The sequence below is a fragment of the Homo sapiens genome, chromosome 16 (assembly GCF_000001405.40).
Source record: "Homo sapiens chromosome 16, GRCh38.p14 Primary Assembly".
In the NCBI taxonomy this organism is placed as follows: Eukaryota; Metazoa; Chordata; class Mammalia; order Primates; family Hominidae; genus Homo; species Homo sapiens.
Window position 1 is genome coordinate 11,761,348 of NC_000016.10, and position 19,309 is coordinate 11,780,656.

A 19,309-nucleotide genomic window follows, 5' to 3' on the forward strand; every position below is an offset into this window, starting at 1 on the left:
TTTCTAATGATTTGAAATGCCTAATTTAAAAAAAGTGGCTTAAAAATTACGTATGTACATCAAACTGTAAAGGCATTTGTTTCTTTGTGGGGAGAGGACGGATGTTCATCCACTTCTTACGTTCAATAGACATCACTCTCATCGCACGCCGGTCTTTGGTCCACCTAAGAAAAATGGAGTTCAGAAAAAAACAAAGACACACGAGCAAAAGACATAACACAAAGGGAGAGGCACAAAGTTTGTACCTGAGGAACCAGAGAATTTTTTTCTCAATGCTTCTAAAAGAAATACCTTATGATTCTGTATTTTCACTTCCTATTGTCATTTACAAACACTCCCTACAAACTCTAAACAAATTGATAAAATACAGGAAAAAAACACTACTTGTGAATTCTTATCTACTAGGTCCTAAAAATCTCTTCCCTTGTGTCTGTAATTATCCTAAATTATCTATTTTTCTCTCCTCTCTTCAAAGCCTTAAACTTTTTGCTTATGTGTATAATTTTATACCTACGAAACAGAAAATTACAAAATAGGAATTGTTTCCACACACAATACTTACGAATGCCTTGCTTTTGCACTACAATATTTTCTGTTTTTGTCTGGTTCAATGACTTGACCGTTTCTCAGACACTGGGCGCACACAAACTTTATCTTCATATTAAGAAATCCAGGCATTATTTGATTACCAAGTACCTTAAACAATTAAAAGATTCGTTTTAATTTTTTTAACAGAAAACCAGTTTTCTGATGACAAAATACTAAATCAAGATGCATTTTTTTCACAATAGTATACAATTTCCCATTTTTATCTGACTTGATTTGACCATTATATCTGATAACTAAATCTCCAATTCTCCCCCCAAATGTAAGAGAATATCATAAAAGTAGATGATAGATGCCAAACTTTAATTTATGAAACTCATCTTTGAAATTGATGACTAGAATTGTTTCATTTGGGTCAGGGGTGTTGAGGGGAGAGCAATGGAAAAACGAGACATGCCAGGTGGAAAGCTAAACTATAAAAATAATCTAACCCCCTTACTCCGAGAACCCGTAAAGCCCAGAACTCCAGTTGTTTTGTCAATTAAACTAAATAAGAAAACAGTGTCCTACACTCTTGGCAAGCATTGTGGGCTGCATAATTTTTTTATGATGATCAACTAAAATGCAAATTGTTTTTTCACATAAGAATGACTCACCTGAATGAATATTAAGAAAGTAACTGGACTGTAAGTGTTAACTGCATCCACCAACAACCAACATCTATTACGCAATTCCAGAAAGGACACCAAATGCAGAAAGTACACAAGAGAAAAATACCTGCGCTCCAGGTACATTTGCTTCCAAATTCTGCCAATATCGTTTAGACTCTTGAGCAATAGCATCATGTGAGATACCTGGGGAATGTACAAGCCTTCCTTTAAATTATATCTATAAGAACAACAGCCCACCAATCTGGGTGCAGTCAGACGTGGAGAACCTTCAGCTTCCAATCTATTCTCATACCTCCTAATCCATCAGCAAGGATGAATACCACGTTTCTCTTTTTTGAAATGGAATATACACAAATACAGCTCTTTGTGCCTTCTGAGGAATCTTTCCTCCCAACAATTGCATGTATCAACTTGTATCAGTAATTAATGACATGAGAACACACTCAAAATAGGCAACTCTAAAAATCAAAAGTTTGAAGCTCAGGACAAAATCAATAGCGTCACCACATCTGGTTGATGGAGAAGGGGAGGTCTCCAAATTCCTTTTTGTTTTTTTTTTTTTTGAGACAGTCTCATGTTATCACCCAGACTGGAGCGTAGTGTTGTGATCCTGGCCCACTGCAACCTCTGCCTCCCAGGTTTAAGCAATTCTCATGCCTCAGCCTCCCAAGTAGCTGGTATTACAGGCGCCCACCACCACGCCCGATTAATTTTTGTATTTTTTGTAGAGATGGGGATTTTGCCGTACTGGCCAGACTGGTCTTGAACTCCTGACCTCAAGTGATCCATCTGCCTCAGCCTCCCAAAGTAGTGGGATTACAGGCATGAGCCACCACGCCAGGCCCAAATTACTGTTTCATTAAACCCTGTCTGCTCTTGAGGAGACATACTTCTCAGTCGCACTCAAACCTACCTGTTTCATTTTGCATTATCCAGACTTTCAGTTCCACAAGACTATGGGCATAAAAGCACTCATCTTCCCTTAAACAGCCATACCGAACTTCATGTCGACATAAATCAAGCTGACACTGACCATGAAAAGAACGTATTTTGGAGTATTTTACTGTTGTCTCTCGCAAAATGTGGACAAGGCACCTAAGATGAAAACAGTGACATTTTAATATTGTTCTGCCATAGATTTTTCAAATATATATATATATATATATATATATATATATATATATATATATATATATATATATATAAAGTTCTACACTGACAATACATTTAAAATTTTTTTTTCTCTTTTTTTTTTTTGAGATGGAGTCTCACTCTATCGCCCAGGCTGGAGTGCAGTGGCGCGATCTCGGCTCACTGCAAGCTCCGCCTTCCGGGTTCACACCATTCTCCTGCCTCAGCCTCCTAAGTAGTTGGGACTACAGGCGCCCACCACCACGCCCAGCTAATTTTTAATAGAGACGGGGTTTCACCGTGTTAGCCAGGATGGTCTCAATCTCCTGACCTCGTGATCCGCCTGCCTCGGCCTCCCAAAGTGCTAGGATTATAGGCGTGAGCCATGGAGCCCAGCCCTACATTTTAAATTTTTATCGGAAAAAAAATCATGGGGGCTGGGCACAGTGGCTCACACCTGTAATCTCAGCACTTTGCGAGGCCAAGACGGGTGGATCACCTGAGGTCAAGAGTTCGAAACCAGCCTGGCCAACATGTTGAAACCCTGTTGCTACTAAAAATACAAAAAATTGTCCAGGCGTGATGGCTCACTCCTATAATCCCAGCACTTTGGGAGGCCAAGGCGGGTGGATCACTTGAGGTCAGGAGTTCAAGACCAGCCCAGCCAACATGGTAAAACCCTGTCTCTACTAAAAATGCAAAAATTAGACGGGTGTGGTGGCACGTGCCTGTAATCCTAGCTACTGGAGAGGCTGAGGCAGGAGAATCGCTTGAACTCGGGAGGCGGAGGTTGCAGTGAGCTGAGATCGCGCCACTGCACTCCAGCCTGGGAAACAGAAAAAGACTTCGTCTCAAAAAAATTAAAAAATACAAAAAATTAGCCAGGCCTAGTGGTGGGTGTCTGTAATCCCAGCTACTCGAGAGGCTGAGGCAGGAGATTCACTTGAATCTGGGAGGCAGAACTTGCAGTGAGCCAAGATCATGCCACTGCACTTCAGCCTGGGTGACAGAGCGAGACTCTGTCTCAAAAAAAACAAACAAAAAAACCAAATCACTACATGCAATTGTTGAATTAATTGGGGGGGGTACTTATATTTTAAGCCATAAAATACCTAAATCCATGTCATGAGAAACTATACATCAATAATGCTTTTCTGTTTTACATAATATATTTAGTTAATTATTCACTTTCCAGCCAAATCTACTAAAAGACATTTTAAAATTTTGTCATTGTTCTTCAAAATAACAACATAACGATGAAAGGGCAATGCCTGGACAGACATTACTACTAGTTTTTATTCAGATCTAGAAAAAGAATCTATTTTGTCATTACAGAAATTAGAAACTATCAACATACTTATTGTCTTCAAACTCATGCTTTGTAACCGGGTGAGAACAAGCAGTAGAATTATCTTTATTTCTTTTACTTATCATTCTAGGCTTATGATCAAAACATTTCTGGAATAGAGAGAGAAAGATTATCAAAAAAAATACAAAATATAAATTTTGTACCCAGAATATTGTCCTAGTTTCAATATCATTACAAAATTAATATTCAATATGAAGTTTTAATATTCTTTTTGGTAACAGTAATAGCCAACATTTACTGAATGAATGTTTTATCACATGGGAGGACCAGAGGAATATTTTATTCATAAATATGATATTATTTATCATATAAATAAATGAATATTTATTCATTTACCAAGTGAATGTTTTATCACATGGCAGGACAATACCACTGGGCTTGCAAATTCAACTTTACAGTGGAAAATAAGTTTTGGAGAACACACCTCACAAAGGAATATAAATTCCCCAAGATGCTCCTGGAGAAGTTTGAACACAGTAAGGTTAATCTTTCCATTGCCGCCAAAGAAAGCCTCCCGGCTGAATGCTCCTTTCCGCTCCAGTGTCCACACATCTATCTCCTCTTGGCAATAAGCAAACGTGCAGTGGCCTGAATATCTACATTCCTCCTCAGCAGCAACATCTAGAAAGACAGGGAATGGACAGACATTGAAAACATGGCAATTGGCCTGTACTCCCAGCTACTTGGGAGGCTGAGGTGGGAGGATCCCTTGAGCCCAGGAGTTCAAGGCTGCGGTGAGCAATGATCTTGCCACTGCACTCCAGCCTGGGCAACAGAGCAAGTCCCAGTGTCAAAATAAACAAACAAACAAAAAAAGATGGTAATTGTTTCCTTAAAGCCAATGAATATAAATAACATTTAGGGCATCATTTGAACTTGTCTAACAATTCATGGACAGCCTCAAACAATGATATGCATATTATCTGGGGATGGATCGTATCAACTCTAAAAAAGAGAAGTACCACAAGCCTTAATTATTTTTATCACAGACTGTGAGAAGAGCCTTGATTCTCTCATGGACCACACCTCAGCTGAAAAAAAAAAAAATCATTTAGGGACATTCTAAGCTCATTCACACAAACTTGTTTGACAAACATGAAAATACCAAGTTCTCTCAAAAGCATCTTAAACACTTTTCAAAGCCTTAGCTCAGTGTTTTGATTCTGTTTAGAGAGAACTTAAGGTTTGAGACAGTCTTCTGTTTAAAATCTGGTCATAGGCCAAGCGTGGTGGCTCACACCTGTAATCCCAACATTTTGGGAGGCCGAGGCAGGCAGATCATTTGAGGCCAGGACTTCAAAACGAGCCTAACCAACATGAAGAAACCCATCTCTACTAAAAAATACAAAAATCAGTGAGGCAGGGCGGCACACGCCTGTAATTCCAGCTATTCGGTAGCTGAGTCATGAGAAAATTGCTTGAACCTGGGAAGCAGAGGTTGCAGTGAGCCGAGATTGTGCCTGTGCACCCCAGCCTGGGAGACAGAGCGAGACTCTGTCACAAAAAATTGAGAAATAAATAAATAAAATAAAACCTTGGCCAGTACAGTGGCTCATGCCTGTAATCCTTACACTCTGGGAAGCCCAGGCAGGCAGATAACTTGAGGCCAGGAATTTGAAACCAGCCTAGGCAACATAGTGAAACCCTGTCTCTACTAAAAATACAAAAATTAGCCAGGTGTACTGGCGCATGCCTGTAATCCCAGCTACTCGGGAGGCTGAGGCAAGAGAATCACTTGAACCCAGAAGGCAGAGGTTGCAGTGAGCCGAGATTGCGCCACTACACTCCAGCCTGGATGACAGAATGAGACTCTGTCTCAAAAAAGAAAAAGTTAAATACAACAGTAAAAATAATATAAAAAATATTAACATCTCAATCCAAGGAACTTGCTATTAGCTCTAAACATTTTTTATAACAGTCAATACTGTTATAATAACATAATGTAATAAATTACATATTAATAGATGTTATAATAAATGTAGCAAGCACAGTCCTACACCACATACTGACATTTCAGTCAACTACAGACTGCATATATAATGGTGGTCCCATAAGATTAATACTGTGTTTTTCCTGTACCTTTCCTATGTTTAGATACACAGATACCATTGTGTTACAGTAGCCTCAGTATTCAGTACAGTAACAAACTGTACAAGTCTGTAGTTTAGGAGCCACTGACTATGTCATGGATAGGCTAGGTGCGTCGTCGGCTACACCATCGAGGTTTGTGTAAGTACTCTGTGATGTTCCCCTAATGATGCATTTCTCACAATGTATCCTGTCATTAAGCTAAGCATGACTGTAGTTCATCACTTATGTAATGTATACTAATTAAGTAATTACAGTACATACCTTTACATATATAATATGGTCCTTCATAATTTGTTTTTGTTGGTCTTGGACGTATTTTTTTCCATGATTTATCTTCAACATTCTTTATCCTACCGATTAAAATATCTTTCTTACACTTATGATCTATGTTAGCATGGTAAGTGAAATCCATTAACTTAGGGCCTGAAAAAGATGTAAAGAGGATTGCTTATATGCACAAAAAATATCATTTCATTTTACAGGTAAATTTACAAGCAGACATGAACAGATGAACATCAATTATTAAATTCCCACAGAAATCCCACTTCCACAACCCTAAAATGTAAGTAGGCTACTAAGGTAGATTTGTGCCTTTTATAATGTATCAGACAACACAATGTTCTATTCAACTCCACTCCTGCCAAAAAAAAATACCCTTACTTAACTTTAGGGAAATAATCTGGAGAGGAATTTTGATGGCTTATAAATCAGAATAAACTGTGTTTATGTCACTTGATTTAACGGTAAACATATGAAACAAGCTAACAGAAAGTATTTAATTTTCATATACATTGTATTGTATACTGGTCTTATAATGCTGTTTTCTAGTTCTTGCTCTACTTGAAAATAATCAACTTCTTAAGCATACACTGAGAACATAAGGAGTTTCATTAAAATTTCAATAAGCTTCCAAAAATAGGTAAATATTCTATTCTACATGATTCTATAAATAAAATGACATCAAATAAGAGCAGAGCCTTATCCTATTATACTCCAAAGGCACTAAATCAGTAACTGCTACTTGTTTAGGAAGAATTCAAAATAGGGATTGAAGAACCATAATAACTGATGTTGTTAACATGTATTTACAAATTCCTAAGAACTTTCAAGGTTATGAGCAAGTAGTTTAATACTCTCTGCGTGTTTGTTTGGTCCTGACCTGATTTTACAAAACAGATCTGGCAAGCTTGTCTCAATTCATGGGTTCCTTCGAGGGGATGTCTTGGAGTCACTGATGAAGATGGTTTGGTAACTGCACTTCCAAAAAAGTTTCCAAAGTCATTTCTAGGCTGACTTGAAATTCCCAGGAAATTCTCTGAAGCAAACAAACTACCTGGTCCATTCATCTGCAAGAAAAATAAGAAGAAAAAAAAAAAAAACAGCCAACAAATATTGCATTATCACTGAAGAAAGGAACTGAATTCATCTGAAAAATAAGATAATCTTCATAAACTGAGGTCAGTACTACTCCATCCTTAATGCTCTTCTATCTTAAAAACTGTCTCTTTCTACATTTTTCTCTCTTTTGGTTTCTAGTCACCCCCCGACTTTTTTGATCCTCCATATTATAAGTAATAAGTTCTACTGCAAAAGTACACACGCTTTACATGCCCCGATCTTATATTTCCTTGATTTGTTTATGCTGTGCTAAAGCCTCTTACATTGTCTGCAATACCGATTAATTTGCTATGACAGATCAAGTCTTAAACACAGAGCCGTTATTACTAGATGTTCCAGAAGTCTTACTTTAACACAATTTCCTGCAGCACACACAAAATTTAAGGGAGACTGTCATGTTCATTCAAATAACTCGGTTACTTAAGTAACTATTTTCAATTCAAGCGATGTATTTACAAAAGAGGAAGTGGCACTTACAAGTAAAAGGGAAGAATTACTGTTGTTAAGCGGTGTTCCCTCTCTAGAAGTTGAGGTGGACAGATCTAAAATAATAAAAAAACTTCAACAGACCTTTTCATTCTGATCACGTAATAAGAACATCAGGGCTTAGTAGCTTACTGGCTATGGCCTCCCACGCTATTCTCCCGTCCCAGTTTCTAGAAATTTTCTTGCTCAAGGTTGACACCCAAAGAGGGCTCTAGAGTCTCTGCTTTCCTCTAGAAACCAAGGGCATAGTCAAACAAATTTAAATAAAAACCTACTTCCAGAAAAATAAGCTAAGGCAGGGCCCACCAACTGCAACTACTAAAAACACCAAGAAAATTCTTTATATTCAAAAATGGGAAAAGAGCCTTTCCTTTTGAAAATATGGGGCCAGGTGCGGTGGCTCACACCTGGCAATCCCAGTACTTTAGGAGGCCAAAGTGGGTAGATCACTTGAGGTCAGGAGTTTGAGACCAGCCTGGCCAACATGGTGAAACCCTGTCTCTACTGAAAATACAAAAAAAATTTGCCAGGTGTGATGGCAGGCGCCTGTAATCCCAGCTACTCAGGAGGCTGAGGCAGGAGAATCGCTTGAACCCAAGAGGCAGAGGTTGCAGTGAGCCAAGATTTCGCCACTGCTTTCCAGCCTGGGCAACAGAGTGAGACTCTGTCTCAAAAAAAAAAAAAAAAAAAGCAGGAACTGACCATAACATTTAAAAAAAAATCAGTAAAGTTTTCAATTGCTTTCTTTTTTTTTTTTTTTTTTTTTTTGAGAAAGGGTCTCATTCTGTCACCCATGCTGGAGTGCAGGGGTGTGATCTTGGCTCACTGCAGCCTCAACCTCCTGGGCTCAAGGAATCCTCCCACCTCCACCTCCCAAGTAACTGGGATCACAGGCACACACCATACCCAGCTAATTTTTATATTTTTTGTAGAGAAAGGGTTTCACCATGTTGCCCAGGCTGGTCTCAAACTCCTGAGCTCAAGTGATCCTCCTGACTCGGCCTCCCAAAGTGCTGGGATTACAGGCATGAGCCACCACACCCAGCCTACTTTCTTTTTCTTAGTCTAGCACTCAATTATTTTCTCTCTGCCCTTCTGTCTCCCATATATTTTAATTTCTTTAAGTCAATCTTTAAGTCAATTATGTAAGATTTTTGCCCTTTTAGCCACGTAACAATGCCTTCAAAAAAATATTTTTCTAGTGATTGTTTGAAGTATATATGTTAAACCTAGGATGACAGAAACAGGAGTCAGACTCCAAACTCAGCAATCTCCTGTAAAGTTAAAGCAGCAGCCACGGTTTGCTGAGCTCCACAGATGAAACCTAAAATAGACACATCTGATTGCTAGCATTCTAAATACTGATCTTAAATTAGTGTTTGCCTAGATCAGAATTTAATAGCATAGCCTGTCTCTCAGACCCTTTAAGATGAGATACACCTTTACGGGAGAATACATTGTCATTTCACCCCCAAAACAATAAACTCCCAGCTTAACAAACTATCCTACAGAAACACCAGTGCCACACACATTTCTCTTCTCATGCCTTTGCTCCTGGGTCTCCAGAATGGCACAGCTAAGTCAAGGTAAATTCAAAACTGAAGGCTTAGTCTTTATATTTTTAGCTACAAAGAAAATAATTCACATGTCTACTACCTAGAGTCAGTTAAATAATTGCCAAACAAACATTTTCATTTTGAGAAAATCAACTGCAATTGTTTACAATTTAGATTTGGTTCTTACCTCGTTTGGATTCACTCATTGAAAATGAATTTAAAGAAGAACAAAAATCTTCTAAGGATGAAGTCAAAGGTGGATAAAATTCTGAGAAGGAGGGTGGAGGAGCATACCTCGCACCAATGGGTAAGGTTCCTAACAGCGATGCCGAAAAGGGCATGCTAGGAGAGACACTGGCTGTCTGAAGGGGTCCTCTGACTAAAGCTGACGGCTGCGGAAGAAAAAAAGATGTGATTAAAATTCATGAAGCTGTCATGGGTTTGGCTGAACTACTTTCAACACCAGCAAATAAAAGCATTATTACACTGGGAGATCACGTTACATAACAAAGTTTAGGCCAGGCATGGTGGCCTGTAATCCTAACACTTTGGGAGGCTACGGCAGGCGGACTGCCTGAGCTCAGGAGTTCAAGACCAGCCTGGGCAACACGGTGAAACTCCATCTCCACTAAAATACAAAACATTGGCTGTGCATGGTGGCATGCGCCTGTAGTCCCAGCTACTCAGGAGGCTGAGGCAGGAGAATTGCTTGAACCCAGGAGGCGGAGCTTGCAGTGAGCCAAGATCACGCAATTGCACTACAGCCTGGGCGACAGAGCAAGACTCCATCTCCAAAAAAATAAAAAAAAAAACAAAGTTTAAATCAGAATCAAGATTCGTTTAAAACAATTTTAGCTACAGAACTTCTTTTCAAGAATAATTTTTAAAAACAATTGAGGTGGGATGTCTAACTTTTTTTTTTTGAGACGGAGTCTCACTCTGTCACCCAGGCTGGAGTACAGTGGCACAATCTCGGCTCACTGCAACCTCCGCCTTCTGAGTTCAAATGATTCTCCTGCCTCAGCCTCCTGTGTAGCTGGGATTACAGGCATGCGCCACCTCGCCCAGCTAATTTTTGTATTTTTAGTAGAGATGGGGTTTTGCCATGTTGGCCAGGCTGGTCTCAAACTCCTGACCTGAAGTGATCCAACCGCCTAGAACTCCCAAAGTGCTGGGATTACAGGTGTGAGCCACTGCACCCAGCTAGATGTCTAACATTATAATCCAAATGTTACATTCATGTTTCATCTGCAAAACTTCCTTATGCTTCCCTGCCCTTACCTGACTACAGGGCTCATAAGAATTTGCATCATATGAGGCTGGGCATGGTGGCTCACACCTGTAATCCTAGCACTGTGGGAGGATGAGGTGGGTGGATCACGAGGTCAGGTGTTCAAGACCAACCTGGCCAAGATGGTGAAACCCCGTCTCTACTAAAAATACACAAAAAATTAGCCGGGCGTGGTAGCGGGCACCTGTAATCTCAGCTACTCGGGAGGTTGAGGCAGATAATTGCTTGAACCTGGGAGGTGGAGGTTGCAGTGAGCCAAGATCGCACCACTGCACACCAGCCTGGGCGACAGAGTGAGACTCTGTCTCAAAAAAAAAAAAAGAATTTGCACCATTAAAGAGGAATTGTGGGATATATGTGGTGTAGCAGGAGGATAGGTGATCCAGAGACGGGAGCTGGAGAAGCCCATGAAGATTGAGACAACCTCTCTGGAGGTGTGAACTTACAACTGGACAAGAACATACAACTCTAACTTCCCCAGGCCCCATCAAAGCTGCAACTCACTGAGAGCTTCCACGCACCTTACGTTATGGTATCATATGCTATCTATTTGGTTCTTAAAACAGCTCTCTCAGATACATCCTACTGTGATCACCATCATACAGATGAGGAAAATGATGCACTATGATGAAGTAACTTGCCCAGTATCACAGAGCTGGTAAGAATCAAAGCCAGCTCTGTCAGTCTTTTGCACACTGACACCATCTATTACACCACCCCTGGAAAACAGCTCGGAATTTCTCCCTATCATCACCATCATCCTACCACTGCTGCTACTGATTTATTTTACTTTATGGGAGGGGTCAGAGAAGTCTTTTTTTTTTTTTTGAGACAGAGTATTGATCTGTCACCCAGGGTGGAGTGCAGTGGCATGATCTTGGTTCACTGCAATCTCCACCTCCCGGGCTCAAGTGATTCTCTTGCCTCAGCCACCCAAGTAGCTGCGATTACAGATATGCACCACCATGCCCAGCTAATTTTTGTGATTTTTGGTAGAGGCAGGGTTTTGCCATACTGGCTAGGCTGGTCTCGAACTCCTGGTGATCTGCCTGCCTCAGCCTCCCAAAGTGCTGTGATTACAGGTGTGCGCCACTGCACCCAGCAGAAAAGGCTTTCTATACAGGGATGGACACTAAGTATTTTAGGCTCTGTAGGCCACACGGTCCCTGTTGCAAGGACTCAACTATGCTGTTGCAGTGCAAAAGCAGCCACAGACAGCACATAAAATGAATAGTCACTGATGTGTTCCAGTAAAACTTTACTTACGGACCCAGAAATTGGAATGTCATATAATTTTATTGATTGACTGATTGAGACAGGGTCTCGCTGTGTTGCCCAGGCTAGAGTGCATGGCACAATCAGTGCTCACTGCAGCCTCAACCTCCTGGGCGCAAGTGATCCTCTACCCTCAGCCTTCCAAGCAGTGGGACCACAGGCACGCACCACTATGCCAGGCTGTTTTTAATTTTTTGTAGAGATGTGCCCTTGCTATGGTTACCCAGGCTAGTTTCATATAATCTCCATATGTCACAAAATATTATTCTCTTTTTTGTTCTTCTCTCAACCATTTAAGAATTGTAAAAAATATTCTTAGTTTGCAAGCCATACAAAAACAGGTAATAGGCCAGATTTAGCCTGTGGGCTACAGTTGGCTGAACCCCGCTTTAAAGTATGTGGTTGCTAGAGGATTATCTTTAAGAATAAGAAGTCCTGAGGCCGGGCATGGTAGCTCACGCTTGTAATCCCAGCACTTTGGGAGGCCGAGGCGGGTGGATCACGAGGTCAGGAGATCAAGACCATTCTGGCTAAGGCAGTGAAACCCCATCTTTACTAAAAATACAAAAAAATTAGCCAGGCGTGGTGGCGGGCGCCTGTAGTCCCAGCTACTCAGGAAGCTGAGGCAGGAGAATGGTGTGAACCCGGGAGGCGGAGCTTACAGTGAGCCAAGACTGCGCCACTGCACTCCAGCCTGGGCAACAGAGCAAGACTCCGTCTCAAAAAAAAATAAATAAATAAAAAGAATAAGAAGTCTTTAATCTATATAATTCATTTTTTCTTAAATATCAAACGCCTATTTTTTATCAGAATGTTATCTTTGCCCTTTCCATAATATGAGATCCCAATATGAATTGGAAAAAAATTGGCTAATTACTAGATAGCATTCTTTTTTTATTTCAAAATGATCAAATTAACCAGTTTCAGTAGAGAAGAAAAAAAGTAACTTTCAAGGTTAAAAAAACCCCCAAATTCAGCCTATATGCAATACTGAAAAAGTCTATCAAGTTATATTACAATTTTTAAAAAGTTAACTCTGTCTTCAGAAGAAACTTGAGTAACACTGAAACTTACCATAACAGTTTCATTAGTTTCAGGTGCAGAATCAAGCAGGTCATCTAGTTCATCTCCAAGGACCATATCTCCATCATCTAGAAAAGCTTCTGGCATAGTGAAGGGCATCTTTCCTCCATTTGCCAGCACTGCAGATGGCAGAGCGCTCTCTTCCACTTGTAGTGGCAAAATAGAAGTTAAGGGCATAACAGGAACTGAGGCCAGCTCACTTCCAACTTCATGAGAAAAACTGGGTGCCGGTAAAGAGACAACAGGAACTGCTTCTTGCCTTGGAGTTAATAAATCTGTAACACAGATGGAAATGTACTCAGTCACTTTCATCGTACTTACATAATAATACCATTAATCCCCAATAATAGAGATACAAAGATGAAAATATGAAGGCAATTATAAAAATAATAAAATTGACAGTATAGTAAAGCAATTCCAAACAGATACAGTCACGTGTGAAAACTTATCCTTCTTTCACAAAATGCCTGTATCTCTCTTTGGGCACAGCTATCAGACAGTGGCAAGGCCACAGTGGGTGTCAGTGATTGCTTACTAACATCCAACACTTTTCAGTCACTCACTGGCACATCCAAAGGCACAAAGGGAGCATTGGAAATCATTTTCACTTTCATATTAATACATTAATATGAATATAACCACACAGCGATATTATTTGACAATACATCACATACAAAGACATCAGGTACAAAGCTGGCACTATTCAAATTGTTAAGATGATATGTGAAAACATACCTGGCTCAATATCTTCCACAGAATGGTTCAAAGCCTAGAAATTAAACCAAACAATGGGTTATAATATTTTCAGGACTCTAAGCCATAAAACAATCAGTAAAACTCACCCTAGGCCGGGCACAGTGGCTCACGCCTGTAATCCCAGCACCTGGGGAGGCCGAGACAGGCAGATCACGAGGTCAGGAGTTTGAGACCAGCCTGGCCAACATGGTGAAACCCTGTCTCTACTAAAAATACAAAAATTAGCCAGGCATGGTGGCAGGCATCTGTAATCCCAGCTACTCAGGAGGCTGAGGCAAGAGAACTGCTTGAACCCGGGAGGTGGAGGCTGCAGTGAGCTGAGATAGCGCCACTGCACTCCAGCCTAGGTGACAGAGCGAGACTCTGTCTTGGAAAAAAAAAAAAAAGAAAAAAAGAAAAAACTCACCCTAAGAGAACAATGCAGGTTTCCACAGAAATTCAACTCCCAATTAAGATCCAAGAAATGAATGGAACACGCAAACCTGTATACATGTGGTGTTAGGTGAGGTGCTGGTCTAGCAGTGCTGCCACTTATTTCTCGTGGACCAGCATTTCTCAAAGGCTATTCAGCAGAATAACAGGGATGAATTTGGCCACCAATCATTGCCCAACTCACAATAGCCATTAGCATCCTATTAGCCCCAAGAAAATTTTAATTTTAAAATTAAAAACAAAAACAAAAAAAAACCCTTTGTTAATTTTATCACAAATGACTCCCAAAACTAGTATTTGGCCCTGAACCACTCTTATTGCACTGAAACCTAACATCTATTAACATCCTATAAAATGCCCCACTGGAGCATTCAGGAAATGCTGGTTACAGCTAAAATATATTACTTGAGTTGTAGATGTTCTTTTGTAAAGTGACTAGAAGAGGCCAGAAGAGATGGCTCACGCCTGTGATCCCAGCATTTGGTGGGAGGCCAAGGCAGGAGGAACACTTGAGCTCAGGAGTTTGAGGCCAGCCTGGGCAACATGGTGAAACCCCATCGCTACAAAAAATACAAAAATTTAACAGGCCATGGTGGTGTGTGCCTGTGGTCCCAGCTACTCGGGAGGCTGAGGTGGGAGGATCACTTGAGCCCAGGAGGTGGAGGTTGCAGTGAGCCAAGATCAGGACACTGCACTCCAGCCTGGGCAACAGAACAAGACTCTGTCTCAAAAAAATAAATAAAGTGACAGGAGGGTATTGCCAATTACGTGTTTGAGGAATTAAAAAGGTTCCAAAAATAAACACACACCAAAAATACTAAAAGTAGAATTGCTCCCATCCTTCCCTTTAAAAAAAAATATAATTTTGACAGAAAAAATAACTTTACCTTGGTAGCCCCATCCCCAGGAACTGATTTTAATGAGAGCTGAAATAAAATAAAGACACTAATTTAAAAACAGAACTGACTCCAAGTTCTAAAACAAAATGAAAACACCTTATGCAGAGAACTCCAGCTTACCTCAGCTCTGACATACGCTTTTCTTATTTTAAATCCCAATTTCTGAGCTAGTTCTTGAGTTAGTTTTATTACATGCTCATCCTGAAAAAAATAAGTATGTATAATTAACAGGGTTATATTTACTAATGGTGAAGAAGAATAGACAAAACAGGGAAGTTTCCCATCAAGACACCTGCTTCATTAGCATTTATACCCAACTGAAGCAGGTTGATGGATGACTGGAAAATTTAACTCTTTAAATGCCATTTATTATGATGTAAATGGTTACGATGTAAACAAATAAACTATAAATTCCATACCTGAGGCACTGCTAAGGAGCACTTTGCTACAGCATCGTAAGCCTTTTTGTATCTTCCTAAATCACTTAAAGCCTTAGATTTCCGATACAGAGCTTTGCAGTTACTGGCATTTAAACTGAGGACTATATTGCAGTCCTCCAAAACTTTATCATGGAAACCCTGGTGTGTAAGACCAAAGAATAAAGTCAGCAATCAAACAATTCATTTCTTGCACTGAGGCCTTCCTGTAATAAAAACAAATTAATACCCCATCCTATTACCCTCCCTCTAAACTCCAAGTTAGCAGTATTACTTTTATTTTTTAAATTATTTTATGAAATTTCAAATACAAAAAAGTAGAAAGAATATCATGAATACCCATGTACACACCATCCAGGTCAGACAAATGCTAATATTTGGTCAGAAAGTCCCCAGATCTTCAAGAAATAAAGCTTTCCAGACCTAACTGATGTCCCCATGTGTCCCTCTCCTATTCGCTCCTCTGTAGTTACCCTTTGCTGGAGCACATTAAGATGTCAAACAGAAACGTAACTCCAAACAGCTAACTGATAAGGAATATATTACCCAAAACAAAATAAATAAACAATGAATGCTCTTTAACAAAGAGCTAGGTGACAACACGGATATTTTTCTTAAATTCATGGTTATATTTTACCGAGTATCCACAGTGAAAATTAAAAGCACTTCAGGTTGGGCACAGTGCCTCACAGCTGTAGTCCCAGCACTTTGGGAGGCCGAGGTGGGTGGATCACCTGAGGTCAGGAGTTCGAGACCAGCCTGGCCAACATGGTAAAAACCCCATCTCTACTAAAAATACAAAAATTAGCCAGGCGTGGTGGCGGGTGCCTATAATCCCAGCACTCGGGAGGCTGAAGCAGGAAAATCACTTGAACCCAGGAGACAGAGGATACAGTAAGCCGAGATTGTGCCACTGCATTACAGCCTGGGCAACAGAGTGACACTCCATCTCAAAAATTTAAAAAAGGTGGCCAGGCGTGGTGGCTCATGCCTGTAATCCCAGCACTTTGGGAGGCTGAGGCGGGCAGATCACCTGAGGTCAGGAGTTCGAGACCAGCCTGACCGACATGGAGACACCCCGTCTCTACTAAAAATACAAAATTAGCCAGGTGTGGTGGTACATGCCTGTAATCTCAGCTACTCGGGAAGCTGAGGCAGGAGAATCTCTTGAACCCGGGAGACGGAGGTTACGGTGAGCCAAGATTGTGCCATTGCACTCCAGCCTGGGCAACAAGAGTGAAACTCTTGTCTCAAAAAAAAAAAAAAAAGTTTTAAAAGGAAAAAAAGAAAAAAAAGCACTTCAAAAGCTTTTAAGCTTAAAAATGTGAAAATCTAGTGTGAATTCCTTTGAAGACTAATTACTATTTCTTGATTTAAAAAAACACTCGCCAGGCACGGTGGCTCACGCCTGTAATCCTAGCACTTTGGGAGGCTGAGGCGGGCAGATTGCCTGAATTCAGGAGATCGAGAACAGCCTGGGCAACACAGTGAAACCCCATCTCTAACAAAATACAAAAAATTTGCTGGGCACGGCGGCATGCGCCTGTAGTCCCAGCTACTCGGGAGGCCGAGGCAGGAAAATTGCTTGAACCCAGGAGGCGGAGGTTGCAGTGAGCCGAGATCGTGCCACTGCACTCCAGCCTGGGTGACAGAGCGAGACACTGTCTCAAAAAAAAAAAAAAAAAAAAAAACACTCGTAAGAGTGTTTTTTACCAAGAGTGTTTTACAAGATCAACTGGATCTTGACTAAGATGTTAACTGTGAACAGGGATACCTGAAAGACACACTGACCTGTGAAGACCTGTATCTTCCCTGGATGACTTTTTTATAAGCAGACACACCTTCAAAAGCCATACTCAAATGGGAATCATCAAGGACCAATAACTAAGAAACAAATTATTTCTTAAATCCCTAACCTTCTGTCCAAAGCTAATTTTTATTTTTTTATTTTATTTTATTTTTTGAGACGGAGTCTTGCTCTGTCGCCCAGGCTGGAGTGCAGTGGCACAATCTCGGCTCACTGCAAGCTTCGCCTCCTGGGTTCAAGCGATTCTCCTGCCTCAGCCTCCCGGGCAGCTGGGACTACATGCACACGCCACCATGCCCAGTTAATTTTTTTATTTTTAGTAGAGACGGGGTTTCACCATATTGGCCAGGCTGGTCTCAAACTCCTAACCTCATGATCCACCCACCTTGGCCTCCCAAAGTGCTGGGATTACAGGCGTGAGCCACCGTGCCCGGCCAATCCAAAGCTAATTTTTAAAAGCCTCAAGCCACTCCAAAAGCAGGTAATATGACTTTCTTAAAAACTTAAGAAATTGACTTTTTATTAATGTACTAAGTCATTGAAAAAATTCTTTTCACTCTAGAAACATCATTTTAAAAATTACAACTCACCATATTAGAATAGCAGGCAATACGATTTATATATAGTTTTTCAATTATTTCTTTGGGGATTAAAATTTCTTCAGATTTTGCATAATCAGCTATATTCAAGGCTTCCGTGTACTGGCTTATCGAGTTGTTCCAATCATGTTCCCGATAAACGTCATTTCCTTCATTAAAAAGATTTCTCACGAGAGCACGCAAATATACCTAAAAAAAAGAAAGTTACCACTTGAAGCCTTTTATCAAACAAGATATGGTATAAGTAAATTTTAATTTTTATACCTAAAACTTCACAGGAAACAATGTGACAGAACAGCAGCATTGCTCTAAGAAATTGTGAGATGCAGCCCAAGTCACTGCTATCTCAGCTAGGGATTGAATCTTGCTTGCTTTTTCAAGGGGAAATTCAATTTCTCACTATTAAGAAAAATGCAGCAAAGTACCTTATAAATATTTGTTCACATCTCCAATTCTGTGCCCGCTAGAGAAACCAAGTGGAAGCCCCAAGTCAAAGAGAATGAATAGTTTAAGGCTTTTGAGCAGTATTTCCAAATTGCCTTCCAAAAAGGCCATGATGAAAAATGTTTCTAGTGGTTTACTTTATAGCACCCATACACACTAGGTAGTGTGTGTGTGTGTACACGTGTGTGGGTACCCGTGCACATATATGTAAAATCTACCAATTTCTAGGTGGAAAATGGTATCGTTTTGTGTTTATTTATTTTTTTTAATGGTATCCTCTTTGTATGTGCATGTCTTTACCAGTGAAGTTGAACTATTCCACATTTTTACGGACCCCTTGTATTTCTTTTTCTGTAAATTGCTCAGGTCATTTACTGATTTGGGGGGAGGGGGATGTTAAACTTTTTTCTTATCAAGTAAGTATACACATTCTTTTAGCATGTATAAAAGTTTGTCATTTTCCTTCATTATTTCTATCACGCTTTAGTTTAGTTCTTTTTTTTCTTTTCTTTTTTTTTTTTGAGACAGAGTCTTACTCTGGCACCCAGGCTGGAGTGCAGTGGCACGATCTCGGCTCTCTGCGACTTCACCTCCTGAGTTCAAGTGATTCTCGTGTCTTAGCCTCCCGAGTAGCTGGGATTACAGGCACCTGCCACCACACTCGGCTAATTTTTGTATTTTTAGTAGAGACAGGGTTTCGCCATGTTGCCCAGGCTGGTCTCAAACTCCTGGTCTCAAGTGATCCGCCTGCTTCAGCCTCCGAAAATGCTGGGATTACAGGTGTGAGCCACCACGCCTGGCCATAATTTAGTATTTTAAAAGCTCTTTTTCATCACAAGATCAGAAAAATATTCAACTTGTTTTGTCTCATTTTATGAATTCCTGTCTAAGCTGATTAAATTATTTTAGCTGATTAAATTATTTTAGAAGACTGGACGGATCAACTATTAACAAAACTCGTGACATGCCACTTAACATCTTTAGACCCCAGGTCCACGTGCAAAATGAAACAACTGTTACAGTTTATTTCTGGCTCTA

The 19,309-nt window shown here is 40.3% G+C and overlaps 1 protein-coding gene across 8 annotated transcripts in view, besides 1 other annotated feature; it reads right to left on the bottom strand.

Annotated features, from left to right (window-relative positions):
* Positions 1–19,309, bottom strand: part of ZC3H7A (zinc finger CCCH-type containing 7A) — a 46,662-nt gene that overhangs the window by 10,751 nt on the left and 16,602 nt on the right. For 5 of the 8 annotated variants that reach the window (NM_014153.4, XM_011522463.3, XM_047433996.1 and 2 more), the window contains 16 exons: positions 17,819–18,016; positions 15,404–15,562; positions 15,105–15,185; positions 14,973–15,011; positions 13,633–13,666; positions 12,889–13,172; positions 9,436–9,640; positions 7,684–7,748; positions 6,968–7,154; positions 6,070–6,231; positions 4,142–4,338; positions 3,706–3,806; positions 2,131–2,312; positions 1,324–1,400; positions 563–696; positions 59–164 (listed from right to left, as the gene is read on the bottom strand). In NM_014153.4, the coding sequence (NP_054872.2) occupies positions 59–164; positions 563–696; positions 1,324–1,400; positions 2,131–2,312; positions 3,706–3,806; positions 4,142–4,338; positions 6,070–6,231; positions 6,968–7,154; positions 7,684–7,748; positions 9,436–9,640; positions 12,889–13,172; positions 13,633–13,666; positions 14,973–15,011; positions 15,105–15,185; positions 15,404–15,562; positions 17,819–18,016 (2,211 nt within the window). Of the gene's footprint in view, positions 1–58; positions 165–562; positions 697–1,323; positions 1,401–2,130; positions 2,313–3,705; positions 3,807–4,141; positions 4,339–6,069; positions 6,232–6,967; positions 7,155–7,683; positions 7,749–9,435; positions 9,641–12,888; positions 13,173–13,632; positions 13,667–14,059; positions 14,607–14,972; positions 15,012–15,104; positions 15,186–15,403; positions 15,563–17,818; positions 18,017–19,309 lie in introns of those variants that run through there. The other 3 variants (XM_047433997.1, XM_011522464.3, XM_047433998.1) reach the window with 3 other exon arrangements.
* Positions 7,685–7,794: an enhancer, noted in NCBI's record as "active region_10457". NCBI's record gives its function as "activates an Ori minimal core promoter by ATAC-STARR-seq in GM12878 lymphoblastoid cells {active_cell/tissue: GM12878}" and the evidence as "EXISTENCE:reporter gene assay evidence [ECO:0000049][PMID:35858748]".